The 19,411-nt window shown below is 35.5% G+C and overlaps 1 protein-coding gene across 7 annotated transcripts in view, besides 1 other annotated feature; it reads left to right on the top strand.

Annotated features, from left to right (window-relative positions):
• STAU2 (staufen double-stranded RNA binding protein 2) overlaps window positions 1-19,411 on the top strand; it is a 327,112-nt gene that overhangs the window by 150,794 nt on the left and 156,907 nt on the right. For all 7 annotated transcript variants that reach the window (NM_001164383.2, NM_001164382.2, NM_001164381.2 and 4 more), the window contains 2 exons: window positions 1,390-1,521; window positions 13,857-13,917. In NM_001164383.2, coding sequence (NP_001157855.1) covers window positions 1,390-1,521; window positions 13,857-13,917 — 193 coding nt within the window. The remainder of the gene's footprint in view (window positions 1-1,389; window positions 1,522-13,856; window positions 13,918-19,411) is intronic.
• Window positions 7,967-8,468: an enhancer, noted in NCBI's record as "OCT4-NANOG hESC enhancer chr8:74500454-74500955 (GRCh37/hg19 assembly coordinates)". NCBI's record gives its function as "activates a minimal SCP1, AML or CMV promoter by ChIP-STARR-seq in naive H9 embryonic stem cells {active_cell/tissue: H9 hESC(naive)}" and the evidence as "EXISTENCE:reporter gene assay evidence [ECO:0000049][PMID:30033119]".

Here is a 19,411-nt window from a genome sequence, read left to right as displayed (position 1 = left end):
TGTAAAAATGGGGTCTCACTATATTGCCCAGGCGGGTCTCAAACTCCTGGCCTCAAACAATCCTCCTAGTGTTGGAATTACAGGTATAAGCCACCACACCTGACCAGAATTACACTGTTTAATTTCCAAAGTTGTGATTAACTATTTAACTACTTCTTCAATCACTTACTGAGACCACTGTGTAAAAAGAAATTCAACTATAGTTGTGTATTTTCTATTTCTCCTTGTAATTCTATCCTTTTTTGCTATCTACTTTACTTTTTATAGTTGTATGGTTGATGTGTATTTAAGTACATGTATAAATTGCTCACAGAAGATAACTGTAGAATAGTTCTAATGATAAAAATCTTTTTTTTGGAGCAATTGTGATGGATTAAATGCTGTGGTTTACATACATTATCTTGTTTAATTTTCAAAGCAACATTGTGCAGTAGTTGGTATTACCCCGGCTTTACTGATGAAAAACCTGAGGCTTAGAGATATTAAATAATTTGTACCAGTTCGTACAGCTAGGAAATAATAGAGTTGAGTTTCATATCCCAATCTGACTTGGAAGCCTTTTTTTTTTTTTTTAAAGATGGAGTATTGCTCTGTGGCCCCAGGCTGGAGTGCAGTGGCGCAATCGTGGCTCACTGCAACCTCTACTTACTGGGTTCAAGCGATTCTCTTGCCTCAGCCTCCTGAGTAGCTAGGACTACAGGTGTGTTCCATCACACCTGGCTAATTTTTGTATTTTTAGTAGAGACGGGGTTTCACCATATTGGCCAGGCTGGTCTCAAACTCCTGACCTTGTGATCCTCCTGCCTTGGCCTCCCAAAGTGGGATTACAGCTGTGAGCCACTGCGCCTGGCCAGAAGCCTTGTTTTTAATCATAATGTTGTAGGAACACTTGTATATTAATTCTCTTCAGGAACTATTTAATATAAATCTTTGTAAACTTGAATGTTTACATAATATTGCAATTTGAACATTATTTTAAATGGCACCAATATGAATTTTAGCCTTTTCAGTTTATTAATTGAAATATAAGAATGCTAAAATGTAGTCATAACCAACATGAACGCTGTTAAAATGTAAATTTTATTTTTCTGCTTATATAAATAATATAAATTTAGTGTTTAAAAAATCAAATAGCATATAAATATATATGGAAGTAAAAATTCTATAAAATTCTACCATCCTGAGATAATCCTCCATTGATACTTTAAGGACCATTTTTTCATGTACATATACAACATTACATAAATGTTATCTTAGTTGCCATTTTTACTTTGGACTGAACTTTATGTTTTCAAATGCTAGAGAGTAGAATTGCTTTATGATGTAAGGACTTCCTGTTTAAATTTATCATAAATGTATTTCTTTAATTTATTTCTTTAATCTTATCAGGTGAAGGTAGGCAATGAAGTTGCTACAGGAACAGGACCTAATAAAAAGATAGCCAAAAAAAATGCTGCAGAAGCAATGCTGTTACAACTTGGTTATAAAGCATCCACTAATCTTCAGGATCAACTTGAGAAGGTAAGAGTTAAGTTTACATGTATGTATCCTATCTGTCATAATATCAAAGTGATTAATAAATTTTGATCTTAACTGATATTAAAGTAAATGTCAATTTTAACTTTTCTGAGGCAATACAAAGATAGATGATCCAAGCACAAAATAACATATGGAGTAAGATGAGATATTAATGAGTATTTATAATCTTATGATTAGAAAATACAAAAAGTTTGTTGTATGGTTGTACATATTTTATGTAATACCAATTTAACATTTTTAACTTGTTGACTGGTTGTTTTTGCCATATAGACACAGTCTTAATTTGTGCCTTTTAAGAACACAGGTTGTTAGCCTTTATTTTTGGAATACAGCTGAAAACACTGGAAATAAAAATTCTGACTTATCCCTTTAGGGCAGGAACTGTATTGGACAGACACTCTATAAACTAATTTTTCTATTTACTTTAAATTTAAAGGTGAACTCATAGGTTGTTTATTTTCTGCCAAGACCTGTGTTCATGGTCCCCTATTTTTTCTGCAACAGTTAATGACATCATTAACACCTACATCTGTTACAAGGGAAGCAGAGAACCCTGAATTCAGAACTTGGCAGATAACTTGGCAGAAATTGGCTTATTTCCATTTTGTATTAAGTATCATTTTGTTATCTGTGGATATGTAGACATTATTTCTACCAAACATTTTATTTATGTGAACATTCACAAAACAGGCTTACTAATTACTTTTATCAAAAGTAATATGCTTTAGACCAGGCCATCTTCTCACACAAGAATTCTGTTTCAGAGATTTTTTTAGTTTCTACAGGAACACATTTTAAAAGTTTAGAATTAGAAACAAAAATATATAAAGACACTTAGATGTACTTTTTTGTTTTCTAGGCAATTCTTTTGAATGATTTTAAAAAATCTTTGTCTGTGTATTATTGCTAGAGATTTCAATTCTGTTTTTATAACCTGGCTAGTCAACACTTTTTCTTCTTTTAAAAGTATTTGTAACGTGAAACCTAACATGTGTTCCAGTTTCTATAGTCCTTATATTGTATATATGTTGTTTTAACTTAACACATTTATATTGACTTAAAACTGGTGAGTGATCTATAAAAATATGTCAAAATAAATCTCCTCACAGACATGTATTTGTAAATTAAGTGAAAGCAAACACAACAAAAAACCAGCATTAATTAATTTCATTAATTTGAAAAACATTTTTTGCATAACCACTGTATAAGTCAGGGTTCTCCAAAGAAAAAGAACCATCAACGTGTGTGTGTGTGTGTGTGTGTGTGTATGTGTGTGTCTGTCTGTGTATATATATTAAGGAATTGGCCCATGTGATTGTGGAGGCTTGGCTAGTGTAAAATCTGATGGGACAGCCTGACAGGATGGAGACTCAGGAAAGAGTTGAAATTTCAGTCCAAAAACAGTCTACTGGAAAATTCCCACTTGCCCAGGGAGGTCAGCGTTTTGTTCTGTTCAGGCCCTTCAGCTGATTAGATGAGGACTACCCACATTGTGGAGGGTGATCTGCTTTACTCAGAGTTCACCACTTTAAATGTAAATCTCACCCAAAAACACTCTTGCAGAAACACTCAGAATAATGTTTGACCATTTGGCACTGTGGCCCAGAGAAGTTGACATGTAAAGTTAATCATCACACTCACTAAATGCCAGACACTTAAAATGACTGATTTTAATAAGATGACTGAGACTTGGTCTCTGCACTCAAGGAGCTGATCGTTCTTTAAGTGCAGGGAGTGAGGAATTTTAACCATATAACAAAACTAGAGGATGAACCTGGAAAGTCAGGAAAAGCTGAGGTCACTGTTATTATGCGAAGTAGAAGGTTTGAAGAAATGCTTATTTAAGATTTGAACATGAATGTGAATTGATCTGGTTTGCATTCTTCAAAAGATAACTCTAAGTAATGGGGAGCATGGATTTGAGCAGAGTGAAACCAAAGGCAGAAAGGCCAGTCAGGAGGCAACCAGAGTTGTTTAGGTGAGAGATATTGAGGGTCTGAACTGAGACAGTGAAGGTAGAGAGGAGGAATGGAAAGACTCCAGAGATATTTCACAAATGTAATGGGTAAGATTTGAATAGTAGATAAGATGCATGCAAGGTACAGGAAAAAAGAGGAGGAAAGACTACCTGCAAAAAGGAATAGAGAATGACTGCTAGGTGGTAGTCAGATGCTGCAGAGAGATCAAATAAGAGGACTGAATATATTGATTTATCAATAAGACTTTTGATGAGTGTGGCAAAAGCAATATTTAAAACCAGCAAAAACAGGATTTTTTTGTTGTTTTTTTGAGACGGAGTCTAGCTCTGTCACCCAGGCTGGAGTGCAGTGGTGCGATCTTGGCTTACTGCAACCTCCGCCTCTCAGGTTCAAGCGATTCTCCCTCCTCAGCCTCCCGAGTAGCTGGTATTACAGTGTGCACCACCATGCCTGGCTGATTTTTTGTATTTTTAGTAAAGAAGCGGTTTCACCTTGTTGGCTGGGCTGGTCTTGCTCTCCTGACCTCAAATGATCCGCCTGCCTTGGCTTCCCAAGGTGCTGGGATTACAGGCGTGAGGCACCTCACCTGGTTGGTATTTCTTAATTATTTGGTAGAAGTTACCAGTGAAGGCTTTTGGGCTTAGAATTTTCTCTGTGGAAAGGGTTTTTTAACTACAAACTCAGATTTTAAAAATAGATAGGGTTACTTAGGTTACCTACTTCTGCTTGAATGAACTTTGGCAGTTTTAGTCTTTCAAAGAATTAGTTGATTTCATCTAAGTTGTTGAATTTACTAGTATAAAATTGTTTATAACATTCCCTTTTTCTTTTAATAGTGGCAAAATCTAAATAACATTTCTTTACTCTTTTAGTAGTAGCAGAATCTGTAATGATACTCACTTTCATTTCTGATATTGATCATTTATTTCTTTTCTCTTTTTCTTCTGTTCAGTTTAGCTAGGGGGTTTATAAAATTTTAAGTCTTTTCAAACAATTAGGTTTTAGTTGCATTGATTTTTCTCTGTTTTTCTATTTTCAGTTTTTTTGATTTCTGCTCTTTATTTTATCCTTCACTTGTTTTTGTTTTTAATTTTTTGTTCTTTTCTAATTTTGTGAGGTAGAAGCTTAGGCTATACATCTGAGAACTTTCTTTTTTCTAATATAAGCATTTAATGCTGTGAATTTTTCTTTAAGTACTGATTTAGCTCTGCCCTACACATTTTGACAAGTTGGGTTTTTCTTGTCTCTCTCTTGTTTTTTTTTTTTTTTTTTTTTTTTTTTTTTTTACCTCTGGGATACACGCTGTATGGGTTTTTACTTTCATTCAACTCAAAATATGTTCTGATTTCCCTCTTGATTTCTTCTTTCAGGCCCTGTATCTGTTATGATTACTTGTTTTGTCCAGTGTTAAAGTTTCCAACTATAAGTTTGGATTTTCCTACTTCTACTTCTTACAGTTTTATTAGTTTTTGTTTTATGCATTTTGAAACTTTGTTGTTATATATGTATACAGTTAGTGTTGTGTCTTTGTTGACTTGACCACTTCTATTGGATATTTCCCTTTATTCCTTGTTCTGAAATCTGTTTTGTTTGATATTAATATAGCTACTCCAGTTTTATTTTGACTGGTGTTTGCATGGGATATTTTTTTCCCTGTGCTTACTTTTAACCTATCTTTAAATTGGTTTCTTTTAGAAAGCATATAATTGGGTCTTGTTCTTTAAAATTTAATTTGACAAACTTTGCCCTTTAGTTAGGGTGATTAGACCATTTGCACTTACTGAAGTTATTGAGATTGTTGTATTTAAACACACCATTTTATTAGTTGCCTTTTTTTTTCCCCGCACTTACTCTGTTTACTTTTTTTCTTTTTTGACCTCTATTGTGGTCACATAGGTTACTTCTCTAAGTTTCTCTGACCTCCTATTGTGGCTATACATTTTAGTTTTCTATATTTTTCAAACCGTACAATTCACTGTTACTAATTTTGCTTTATATAGTCAGTTATCTTTTTAAGTGATTAAAATCAGCAGAAAATGCCTTTTATATTTACTCTCATTTTGATTATTTTCAATATCCTTCATTTATTTGTGTAAATTCAAATTTCTTTCTGGTATTATACCCCTTCCTTGCTTGAAGGACTTCCTTTAATATTACTTATTTTAGCAGATCTGTAGGCAGTGCATTCTCTCAGCTTTTGTTTGCCAAAAAAGTCTTTATTTCACTTTCATTTTTTTTCTTTGCAGGTTTTATTATACACAAAGTGGGGTGGGGGCTCAGACCTTCTTGGCAGCTGCTTTCCTCATGGCAGTCAGGATATTGCCTCAGCTCCTCTTGCTTCCTGTTGGTGCATATGTGTGTTTTCATCCTTTTCTTAATGAACTTGAGGGCCCGCTTGTCCTTGGAGACTTTGAGCAGCTTCATGGCATGCCACTTTCAGGGGGAAGCCACACACCTCCCAGATGATGTCTTACACAAGCTTTGTGTGCTTGGTAAGGTGTCCAGGGTGGCAGCCCTGCCTCAGCTTGCTCATATTCTTGTTCACCTTGGGCCCTGGTTGAGGCCCATGGGCATGGGGTAATGCAGAACTATGGCTGCTGCTCTTCAGTGACTGCTCTAGCAGAAAATTTCACGTTATTTTTTCTTTTTTAAGCCTCCAATGAATCACCTTCATTTTTGAAAGTTATTTTTTTCTGGATATAGGATTCTGGGTTTCCTGTTTCTTTTAGTACTTTAAAGATCTTGCTCCCTTGTCTCCTGATAGGCATAATTTTCAATGTAAAGTCTGTTGTAATTCTTACTTGTTCTTGTTGATGTATTTTTTTTCCTCTCTCAGCCTTTAATATATTTCTTTTCTTTATTTTCCAACAATTTGGTTGTGATGTATCTAATTGATTTTTTTTGTTTCTTCCTTTCTCCTCTGCCCCTGTACTCTTTTCCCACCCTTCTTCCTCCCTTCTTTCTATTTTTCTTCCTTCTCCTTTTCCTCCACCTTTTCTTCTTCTCCTTCTTATCCTCTTCCTTCCTTCTTCTCATTTCTTCTCTCGTTTTTTCTTCTCCTCCTACTTCCTTCTCCCCCTACTTCCTTCTCCTCTTTCTTCTATCTCCTCTTTATTCTTTCTTCTCTTCCTCCTTCCCTATTGTTCTTCTTCTCTCCTCTTCCCTCTTCCTTCTCCTCCTCCCTCCTCTTTCTTCTTCCCTTCTCCTTTTCCTTGTCTTCTTTATCCTCCTCCTCTTCCTCTTCCTCCTCCTGCTTCTCTTCCTTCCTCATCCTCATCCTCATCTTTGTCATCCTCCTTGTCCTTATAGGGTTCTCTGAGCATTTTGGATCTGTGATTTGATGTCATGGAATCAGTTATTTTGACAAGTTCTTAGCTATTATCTTTTAAAATATATTTTATTCCTTGTTTTCTCCCTCTTTTCCTTGGAGTTTCCATTTATACATTCATTAGACCATTGGTATTGTCTTATAGGATTTTCTTTATTAAACAGTTTGAGTAATTTCTGTTGATTTGTCTACAAGTTCAACAATATTTCTTCAGCTGTGTGCAGTCTGAATTAATGCATTATTAATAATGACATCAATGTTTTGATCTCTAATATTTTTCGTTTAGGATTTCCTTATGTTTTTGTTCTGTGGTTTCTATTGGTGTGCTGAAATTCCCCATATGCTCATGTATGTTATCTGCTTTTTCCAGTTGGTCTTTCAACCTATGAATCATAGGTGTTGTAAAATACCTTTCTGAAAGGTCTAGCATCAGGGTCATCCCTGGGCCCTGTTTTGTTGACTTCCCTGTGTTTTGGCAGTGGTTTATTTCTTCTTGCAGTTTTGGGTATCTCATAATTTTTGAATGAGTGTTGGACCTTGCAACAGAAAAATAGTAGAGGCTAAGTCAAATAGTATTTGTTGAGAAATCAGCATATGTCTCTCTCTCAGACTTTTTGGATCGAGGGTTGCATCAGTCTAGTTATTAACTGAATTCATTTTGGGTTTTGTTATTGCCATAGTCACTGTTAACTACAAATTCCTTCAATAGTGATATGCTGTTACCCATGCTTTGTGTAATGTGAGGTTTTGAGAGGATTTTTTCACAGTTTCTCTGCTCAGCCCTCAGGTTTAGAGGTCTCTTCTTTGCTGTGTCATGGCATGGGGTTATCTCTCTTCAGGCTCTGTAGTAGACTGCTGCTATTTATTATTTAATCCTGGGATTGTGGTGGGTGTCATAGTTCTTGATTTTTTTGTCCAGCTTCATTTTCTGGCAGATTCTGTGAGCCTGGATGTCAGAGGTGGATCTTTCTGTTTTTGCTGTCTTCTCTGTGGTAACCAAATTTTATCTTGGATTTTTGGGCAGTTTGGGCATGAGAGAGTTTCCTGTACATTTCCCAGCATTTGCAGACCTCTGCTTTATACTGGTGTAGTGTCTTACTCTCAAGTAGGTTTTCTATCTTTTTTTTTCCCCAGGAGCATATAGCTTTTGCTTTCAATCCTCTTCAGAAGCAATGAAGCTTTACTGAGCTCTTAGGACCAGAGAATTTCCTGCCTTTGCCCCAACGGCATATAGGATTTGTTTCTACCCTTCCCCCGGTGGCTTAAATTTTTTGTTTTGTATTGGAGAATGGCCTAGAGAAGTGGCAAGGTTCTGTGCTTATCCCTCAGTGCAGCCATTAACCAGCTGCATTCCTGCACCAAGTTGGGCTCTCTCTGGTCTGCAGCTGTAGCCCCAGTTGTCCTTCTGAGAATCCAGGGCAGGACAATGGAAAAGAGCTGCTGTCTGGAGCTCCCAGTTTTTCTAAACTATCATGCTAGCTCATACTCAGGCTTTAAGAATTTAACATTTCATCTACTTTCTTCTTACTTACATTCATGGCAGTCATCTCTGCTATCCCTGCCCTGCCAAAGCTGTTAACATTTTTGTGAGTCCTATCTCTCCCAGAAGGATTTATCACTCACTAGAATTCATTTTGCTTGTTTACCTTGTAATCTCAGGTCTCTAAAGGGTTCAAGAAAAGTTGCAATTGTCTTTTTCAGATTGGCTGTTTGTCATTGTTATGTTTCCAGATTCTAAGGAAAAGTGGAATACTCTCTTCACCTCTTTTTTATATGCCATTCTTGCATCTTGATTTTCTTCATTCAGATATCTTAGAGTTTTTCTTAATATCTTGGAGTTTGTTGAAGTCAAGACATGACTACTCTTTTTTGTATTTGATCATTATATTCATCAAAGTAGTACTCATACTCAAAATAATACATATATAAAAAGGCAGAATTTATACAAGATTAATAGTATAAAAACTCAAGGTTTATAATTTAAAATACCAAAATATCCTGTTCTCCTTCCCTGCCACTGGCCATTTCTGCTTCCCCTTTGCCAGAGGCAACCACTTTACCACCTATTGTAACTATTTATTTTATTACTTACCACTATGGGTAGTTTGTGCTATCTCTTGGTTTCTCATGTTTAAATATTATGAGAAGTAATATAAAAGTAAAAAAATTAAATGTACTTTCTGCTATGGAAAATGAGGGTTTAACTCTGGTACATACTCCACACATACACTTTTCTACATCTTTCTGTCCCCAAAGTCTTTACCAGTCAAGCACATCATGCAGTTTTTTTCGTTCCTTTCCCAACGTACACCCTACCCAACCCTTAGAGCTCTTTATCCTCCTCTTGTATTGCAGATTGATCGATATGCCTGCTGCAGAGCTGCTGTTAAGGTTCTTCTCTTCACCATTATCCTGAAAATTTCTCTGGCCTCTGTCCTTTGTTGAGTTGACTATTTTCTGGACAGTTTCCCTTGTTCTTGGTTTACTTTCTTGTTTTAATGGAGTACATACTTTAGGGCCTTCCCTGTGAAGGATACATGGGAAGTAAACTTTTTTTTTGAGATCTTGTGGTCTGAAATTTTTTTATATTTGCCACACACTTGATAGTTTTTTTCTAAGCTGTAATTCTAAATTGGAAGTAAATTTTCACGGAGTTGGGAAGGCATCGCACCCTTGTCTTGTACCTCCCAGCATTGCTGTTAAAATTTCAACACCTGATTCTTCAGCCTGTATATGAAACTTTTACCCTTCTCTTCCCTCTCGATGCTTTTCTATTTTCTCAGGGGTTCTGAGATATGTGTATTTTATATGTGTATTTGATAAATTGTGTTGGACATTTGAGTTTTAATCTAGAAATTCATATACTTTAAACTGAGAAATTTCTTATTTCTTTAATAATTTCTTTACTTTTATTTTTGCTGTTATTTATTTCTGAGATGCCAATCTTATGGATGGTCTTGTGGTTTTTCTTTTCTCCCCCTCTTTCTGTTTTTGTTGTTGTTCTGTTTTCTAGGAAGATTTCCTCAAGTTTGTTTTCTAGTCCCTCTCTGACATTTTCACATCAGCTATTTTATTTTTGATTTCCCAGAGTTCTTCCTCATTCTCAGAATATTCCTTTTAAGCCTTCCTATTCTTGTTTAATGGGTGTAGTCTTTCTCTTATGTGCCTGAGGATTTTTTTTTTTTTTTTTTTTTGCATTTTTTTTCTTCTGTTCTCCTCATTATCTTTCTGTTCCTGTGGTTTGGAACCCTGGATGTGTCTTCTGAGGGGCAAATGAGAAAAGAGTCTTGGAATCTTATTTTTCAGTATGAAACCTTGGAACTCCCATCTCCTTATTTGCAGGGTGACACATGGATTTCACCCTCAACTATGCCTGGTATCCAGAGCCTCTCTGTTTTAGCCTCTCCCAACAGGAAACCCCTATTAGGAAGGGGTAGGCACCTGACTGCATGGGGTCAAAGAGTTGATAGGGAGATTTCATAATACCTTGAAAAGACTTCCAGACAAATCTTTCTGTTTCAGCCCCTTCCAGGATTCATCTTTAAATGTACCAGGTGTACTCCTAATTCTGGAGGCTTTCTAGGGTTCTGGGTGACACATCACCTTACTGTGAGCTCTTTGTTGGCTTCTTCCTCTGCAGGTTAGGTTTCAGTTACTCACATCTGCTAAGCTAGCTACAACTTCTTCATCTGCTTTCCACTTTCCAGACTTTGACTTACCTCCTGCTGTTGCCTCCTATATTTGTTTGCTATAAAGAACTGCTAGAGATTGGGTAATTTATAAAGGAAGAGGTTTAATTGACTCACAGTTCTGCAGGGCTGGCTGGGGAGGCCTCAGGAAACTTAAAATTGTGCCAAAAGGCACCTCTTTATAGGGCAGCAGGAAAGAGAAATGAATACCGAGTAAAAGGGGAAACCCCTTATAAAGCCATCAGATCTTGTCAGACTCATTCACCATCAAGAGAGCAACATGAGGGAACCACCCACTTGATTCAGTTATCTCTACCTGGTTCCACCCTTGAGACGTGGGGATTATTACAATTAAAGGTGAGATTTTGGTGGGGACACAGAGCCAAACCATATCATCTCCTTTTATATTTCTCGTTTGTGTCTGAGGGGTACAGTAGAAGAAATACAGAAAGTAAGGATTGGGAGATGAACTGTACTTTGTGCTTGCTGGGTTTCTCCTTTTCAAGAGAGAAGTTCTCGTAGTAATTACTTTGACCTCATCTCTCCTGACCTCTTCCCCTTACTCTTCAAACAATGATCTTTAAAAGAAAGAAATTTTGAAGTTAGGCATAGCTCTCAGATGAAAATCATATGTTACCTACTGGATAAATTGTATAATATATACATGTTTTGAGACGGAGTTTCACTCTCGTTGTCCAGGCTGGTGTGCAATGGCACGATCTCAGCTCACTGCAACCTCCGCCTCCCGGGTTCAAGCGATTCTCCTGCCTCAGCCTCCTGAGTATCTGGGATTACCGGCATGGGCCACCATGCCTGGCTAATTTTGTAGTTTTAGTAGAGACGGGGTTTCTCCATGTTGGTCAGGCTGGTCTTGAACTCCCGACCTCAGGTGAGCCGCTCGCCTCGGCCTCCCAAAGTGCTGGGATTACAGGCTTGAGCCACCACATCCAGCCAATTGTATAGTATTGAGGTAACATAAGGTAAGAATAGAAGAAATTAGTTTAGTCAAATAAAACAGATTTTATTAATTCCACTTATTAAAAATGAAAAACTTGTTTAGAAAGACTAGAATCCTGTGGCTAATTGTAGAACTGCTCCAGGATTCTGGAAACGTAATTATTTCTCTAAGAACCTAAACAGTTGTCAGCACTTTGATAAGTACAGGCTATGTTTTGGAGGTATGAATAAAATTAAAAGTATGGTAGGAATGTAAAAGAAAAATTGAACATACTTTGTTTCTTTCTGTTCACCAGGTTTTCATGTGAATAATTATTTTAGCTGCTTTTCAAAATCTTTTAAATTTCTTTCATCCCTTGGAACTGGTCTACTTCTGTTTTCTCTCATTTGTTTTTGCAGTAGTCCTTTCCATCCTGGCCGTACCTTTAGAGCATTCTTCTTAATAGTTCCAAACTCTGTTCTTCATCTCACTGTTTTTCTTTTCATTCTTAGATGGCACAGTTTTACTTAATCTGTAACTTTTTTGCTCATTCCTTTCTTTAGCTTCTTTTTTCTCTCCTGATAATGGCAGTACAAAGGTAGCATGATTACTCTCCTCTAGTTAGAAGATGTAGTTTGATGTCCTGGCACCTGTGCATATTATCTGTGTGACCTTAGAGTAATTACAGGAACTCTAACCCTGTTTGCTTGTCTGTAAAATTGAATGTTAATATCACTTATCTTACCAAATTTTTGTGAGGATGAAAATGAGATAATCCATATTTATGCAAAACACTTAGCGCATTAGCAACCCCACTTTTAAATCTTCAGTGTTAGCTATTAGCTATTACTACTATCAGTCTATTTTATTACATAGTAATTTCTCTCTTGTGAAGGATGCCTGTGTTAGCATTTTGCAGTCAAAGGTTATAGCAGCAATCTCTCAGGATGGTAAATGTTGATGAAGACAGGAATTTGTGTTTTAAAGAGATAAAAGAGCTAATTAGAGAGAGAAAGAGATGCTCCCTAGTTCATATGAAGCTGCTGGTTGTTTCTAACATACTGTCAACTTACTCTTCAGGATTCTTTATTTTCAGTTTTGCTTCTGCTGTCTGCCACTATATATTTCCTTGTCACCCTAAGATGTATGATTAAAAAGGAATGAATTCAATAAGAACAACTTTTTTTTAAAAATGAACATGGGTAAACTATTTGCAGCAATTGTATTTTGTGTTTATATCTAGGCTTAATTATCTATTTGACCTTTGACCGTTAACATAAATATAAAATGCTGATCATCATAAGAGATAAGTTACCAGCTGTACAGAAAGATAATATAACTAAAGTCACTTATTAATTTGATTTGAATACTTACTACTTCAAAGCATCTACATTTCAGAATGTATTTTATACCAAACACTAATCATTTGGCAAAAGTCAGAATATTACATGTTTTGCTTAAAGTTAGGACTTAGTTTGCTTAAAGTTAGGACTTAAAGTTAGGACTTAGTTTTCAATTTTTTTGTATATGTCATTTTTTTATTTTTTTATTTTTTTTATATTTGTATTTTTTGTATATGTCATTATAGCAGTATTTGGTGACCCTTACCATAGGACTTTTCTAGATGGACATAGTAACATTTTTGTCTACAGAAATGTTTGATTGTTAGGTTGTTAATTTGACCTCGGGAATCATACAAAAGCTCTTTTGGTCACTTAAGCATTTGTGGTGATGATTATTATTTACTATTTTAATAAGATTTACTTTTTGGCCAGGCTTAGTGGCTCACACTTATAATCCCAGCACTTTGGGAGGCCAAAGTGGGTGGATCATTTGAGGTCAGTAGTTTGAGACCAGCCTGGCTAACATGGCGAAACCCCATCTCTACTAAAAATACAAAAATTAGCCGGGCGTGGTGGCAGGCACTTCTAATCCCAGCTACTCGGGAGGCTGAGGCAGGAGAATCCTTGAATCTAGGAGGTGGAGGTTGCGATGAGCTGAGACCAAGCCATTACATTCCAGCCTGGGCGACAGAATGAGACTCTGTCTCAAAAAAAAAAAAAAAGATTTATTTTTTTCACCACCTAGCTAGAGCTTACATTCTAATAATACATATATTGAATATTGGCTTTATGCCTTGAATTATAAATTTACATGATCAGACAAAAGTAGAAGGACATAAGTAGATTTAGGTGCAGAAAAGGAATAAATGATACCCTTCATGTTAGTTTCTTTTGTAGCCATCATCCCAGGGTCAAAGATAGAGATAATATGCAGAATAACCATGTGAGAGGACTTTGCCTTTGCTTAATTGGTCACCTTTTTTTTTTTCTTTTTGAATAAGCTTGTTTCTCTGGATTTGAACGATTGATTTAATCTTTCAGACAGGGGAAAACAAAGGATGGAGTGGTCCAAAGCCTGGGTTTCCTGAACCAACAAATAATAGTAAGTTCTCATTTTTATGTTGTCTGCACTTGGTGTTCATCAGTGGCTCAGTGACTAGCTGTCACTGGGATTGGTTGGGTCTGTCTGGGTCTGAGAGGCTGTGTTAAGTATTTTGGAGGGTACAAAGGAGTCCTGGTGTTTGCTTTCCTGGAACTGACAGAATAGCTGGAAAACTAAGACACAGATACACTTAACACAGTTAAGCCATTGCAGACAGACTGCCATTTAATACATGTAGTGATCACATGCTTTTTTAAAGTTGCCATTTTTATTGAAACAACATTATAAAAAATATAAAAATATAAAAAATAATTTAAATAATATAAAAATAATTTTTATAATAAAAATAAAGAAGTAATTATCTATAAGCTGATTATACTGTCAAATCAACTTTCAAAGTTCCAATTATTTTTTATGCACACAAATTTTTATATAATTATGATATACATAAAATTTTATTGTTTTCACTTAACATTGCCTAAGCATTTTTTGCGTTTTGCTGAGTCATTAGAATTTTAATATTTTATTAAAGTCACTAAGTGAAATGTCAGAAGTGTAAGAATAAAATTGCTGCTTTGTTCCACTTACAGTATTGTCAAACACTTAAAAAACAATTTCAGTTTACTAATTTTTTTCAAATGTATATGATCAAGATATTTTACATTGGACGTTTAGACATTTTTCCTTAATACTCTCCCTCACTTCCTGAAAAGTATCTATTTCACTGAAGTTAACATTTTACTGTAAATCAGTGAATCAAAACATTTGGCTAGTAAAAACACCCAGTCTATCCCATTTCCAACCCTATCTATCTTCTTTACAACCTCTGGGCACTGAAAAAGCTTAAATCTGTAAATTATCGTAATCCATGGTTTTAGTCTTTGATATTAGTGGCTCGTCTCTTGATGTATAATGAAATTAGTAACAAATTCTTATCAAAGTATGCTCATAAGAATTGAATTCTTGGATTATCAAAACTAGCCTCTTGAAAAGAATTATTTCAGTGAGGTAATGGCATTTTGGGGCTGCTTTCTGGGAATAATTTAAATTAATGTGCTTCTGAGCCCTTGGCCTGTATAAATAGGGGTGATGAATATGATGGCCTTAGCACATAGCCCAAGGAAAAAATGGAATCAGTTCAGGATTCCTAGAGTTTGTGTTCAGTTCCTTTGATGTTTGAATATATTGGTTTATAATGATTTGGTGAGGGAATGTAATAAACATGAAATTGATTGCAGTTTTATGTAAAGTACTTAGCACAGTACCTGTTTCCTAGTAAGCACGTAATGAATGTTGATTTCCTTCCATGCCTCCTCCCTCTTGTCTTTTATAAAAATGATACTATTCTATGTAGGCGTGCCAGAAATTCCATTCTTATACTTTTGTCTGTCAGATGGTTTGTGCATACATATGGTGACCAAGAATATATAGCTTATTATTGAATAGTTACATTCAGGCACTAAACTTTTTTTTCAAAGAATATAAACTTTATGTATTTTAATATAAAGATCAAATAGTTATTAACTTGACAATTTTAACGTGAAATCACTTTATAGATAACCTGCAGGCTCCATCATTAAACAATGATGTTTTGGCCCCTAGCTTTATGTGTTTGTTTTTTTTTAACTTGCTAAGGGATACATCTCATGGGATGACAAGTGGGGGATACTTCTGTCCTGTGCAGACATGGGAAGGAATATCACAAAGAGGCCAGTGAGTTTAAGTGATCAGAAATGTGTAAGAATGCATAACGGGTTTGCTTGAGACATAAAGTTAGAAGTGAGAAAACTATTTGAAGCCAGCTTAAATCTTAACCAGACGGTTAATGCTTTAGGAATTCATGGTCTACAATGGTTCAGATTAAGGCTTTGAAATAAGAATGTTCTGTTATCTCTTCCCAGCTGTAAGGAGGTGAGAAAGCTGCTCTAAGAGTTCTTTGAATGAACACTGGATTGTCCCTTCCTTGGATTACGATAGAGGATAAGGGCAGCCCAGCTCTGAAAAGTAGCTGTTTCATTCCCCAAGGGTTAGTTCTCACAAGTGAAACCTGAGTCCCCTTGAGCCAGCTCATTGGCACTTAAATACAACATTAGGAAGAAGTTGGACTGTGCTTAGGAATTGATCATTCAGATGATGGACCAATTAGCTGAAAATTAATTTAAATTCATATATTATGGTAATATTTAGGTTAACTTCTTAATCAGTTTCTTAAGTTTGAAATTCTATTCTAAATGGTTTCTGTCCTGTGAAGAATACCAGAGTTAGCATTTTGCAGGCAAAGGTTAGAGCAGGGATCTTGTGGGATGGCACATGTGGGGGAAGACAGGAATTTGAGATTGCCAGTGCTGGCTGCCTCACTGACATACTGTCTGACCTTGAACAACTCAATTTACATCTTATTATTCAATTTTCTCTGTTAAGAGTTATGCATACTAATTTATAATGTTGAGAATCTTTAATTATGTAACATTTATAAAATGATTACCCATCCTTGAATAACATCTGAAAAGGTAACATATTACTTTGTGAAAAACACTGTCATCATGAAATGGCTAACTCACTATGGTTTTTTGTTTGTTATGTTTTGTTAAACTCTACATTGCTTCAAAATTGTAGTTTTAAAGATCAAATTTTTAGCCACCCATTATTTGGATAAATAATACGAAATTAGCTTGGAACCATAATGTACAAAAATGAAAAGGGAATGTAGAATTGGAAAGGGGAAAGAGGGGAATTTTAATCTGGCATAGCACCTAACTATAAGTAGACAAAAAACATTAATGTACATGTGCATTTAATTTTTTAAGTGGAAGATATTTTTTAAAAGATTACAGTCATAGGAAACTGCTAACAATTACAACTAGAAAATAGTTTAAATGGTTTTGCAAGTGATTGTGATTACATAGCCTGGTTCCTCAATTTATTTTCCTTGCTTGATTGCCTGCAGATTTAAAATATGGACCTAGTTTTTGGGTGCTGCTCAGGCTTTCTTCATTGTACTGAAATGCAGCAGAAGGTAGACTATTCTAAGTGTGTTTTTATCCTTTGAATCACTGTAATAGTTATGTTGAAGAATAAAAACACATAACTCTGTAATGTGAGGTTTATGTTAAGTTTAGCATAGGGCAATTTTATGCTTGGTGTACACATAAAAAACTAGATTTTTACAGATGAATGAATAACTTTTTTAAAAAAAGATCATGAATTTTAAAGATCTACTGACAGCTCACGGCTCTTGGAAAACTTTGTAAAATATTTAGATACAGTTCAGCTGATAACATCTCTTTTTGTATTCACATTCCATGTTTCTTATTAATACAGGCTTTTACTTAAAAGCAGGTTCATAGTTTCTTGAAGGTGAACTGTAGCTTAATTCAAGATTGGACTAAGCTCAAAGGTATTCACTGGTATGTGCCAAATCCACCCACTAAAAGATTATTCGGAGGCATTTTTCACATAAATATTTTTCCGTTAACCTTTTAAAAAGTTTTATTTAGCCCCTGTGAAATATGCTGGCACTTGTAGGTTCATTAGAGATGACCAAAGACAAATACTTGTGGAATGAGATAGCATTCTTATTGACCTCTTTAGGATCTTAGTTGACTTACCAATATTTTTGTCACTTTTGTTTCATATGCATGTATTATTAAACACTGAACATCCTGAAACCAGGAGGCTACACTGTCCCAGTGATATGACATTGGGTAGATTGCCTGCTGGTTTCCCAAATGCTATGTACTATATTTAGAACCTCTAGTGTTTTTTTGGTTTTTTTGGGGGGGTGGGTAGGGGTGGGAGATAGAAGGGAGGTATATAAGTGTTGGACTTTTAAGGTGACAGATTAATATATACTTTCTTTAATAGTGTTTTGAGAGAGCTCCCTGAACAAATTCCCTTTGGGGTTCCCATAGTAGAAACCACTTTGTAGTGAGACAGTTAAAACAGTTGGAGCCAATTGGATGTAAATATAAAGCTGAGTGATCCAACTTAATTATTTCTTTAGACATAAATACTGTGTTAGAAATGTAAGAATGTAGCCAGCTTTTAGTGATCTTATTTAGAAGGATTGGTGGGTTACTTGTACTGGGCAGCCCAGTCCCTGAATATCTGGTTGTTTTCAAACAAAGGTCCCGTAAATAGAGGGCTATCTGAAGCAATTGGGAGCAATGGGAACATACATATTCTCATTGCTGTCCATTTGAGCCTGCAGGTAGAATTGCTGCTTCTCCTCTGAACACAGGAGGAAAGATCCAAATATTTCAGAATGATATCATCCTTCTTTTACATTGATGACTGTATATTAGACCTACCTGAGTGGTGAGAAGCTATAGTCTTTAAAAAATTACATTGACAAGAATTCTCCTTTCTTGCCTACTGAAGCTAGGAAGGAAGATTAGAGGTAATGTTAAGCTTGCCTCTGTTTTAGTCATACCAGTTGAGTCTGTCTCTGAAGATCCATTGATTTAAAGGAAAAAGAATCTGAAATTAGAGAGTAAGTTTTTAATCAGATTAGCACAGATAACATGTTTTTCTGCAATATTCTCCGGAAAGATTTAATGAATTTAAATTGTGATTTTAAAAACTCGCTTGGCTCATTTTTACATGTAAAAAGATATCAGATACATTTTTTTTAAAAATGGAAATAATATGAGCATTTTTAGGATGCATTTATTCATTGCAGTATGATAGTTTTTCTAAGCATAAGAGCAACGGATGAAACCATAAAGTAAAAAAGATGGATTTATATACGTAAATGCTAAAAACAAGTTCAAGGAGCCGCATAAGAAAATAAAAAGGCAAATGACAGTATAAATTGCAGCATAGCAACAAATTGAATATATGCAAAGGACACATAAAAGTCAATTTTTTAAAAAAAGGCAAACACCCCAATGGCCAAAGGTCTTAAGAAGACATTTAAAAAGAGCAGATAAGAAATCATGAAAAAATGTTTAGCAATCAGGAAAATGGGGATTAAAAATAAATGTTATGAAATTTCTGATCCACGCAAATTGTCAGGGATTTAAAAATGATACTTCCAACTGTTGGGGAAACAGACTGTCACATGCTGCTGATGGGACTCTGACTTATTGTCATTCTGAAGGGAATTAGCCATAAGTATACAGAGCTTAGGCCCATTTCTTTGTAGGGCTTGGCTAAAACATACGGAAAAATAGATTAGTTTTCCATAATGAACATATACTGGTTTTATAATCAGAAAAAAATGAATATTTAAAACACTTACATTTACAAACTTTGGCCTGAAATACACAATCTGACTGCATTTAAACATAAATATTATATATATGTGTGTGTATATATATATATATAATTTTTTTTTTTTTTGAGATGGAGTCTTGCTCTGTCGCCCAGGCTGGAGTGCAGTGGCGCAATCTTGGCTCACTGCAAGCTTCGCCTCCCGGGTTCATGCCCTCTCCTGCCTCAGCCTTCCCAGTAGCTGGGACTATAGGCGCCTGCCACCACGCCCGGCTAATTT

Source organism: Homo sapiens, chromosome 8 (assembly GCF_000001405.40).
Source record: "Homo sapiens chromosome 8, GRCh38.p14 Primary Assembly".
Taxonomy (NCBI): Eukaryota; Metazoa; Chordata; class Mammalia; order Primates; family Hominidae; genus Homo; species Homo sapiens.
This window is presented reverse-complemented; position numbering and strand designations above follow the sequence as displayed.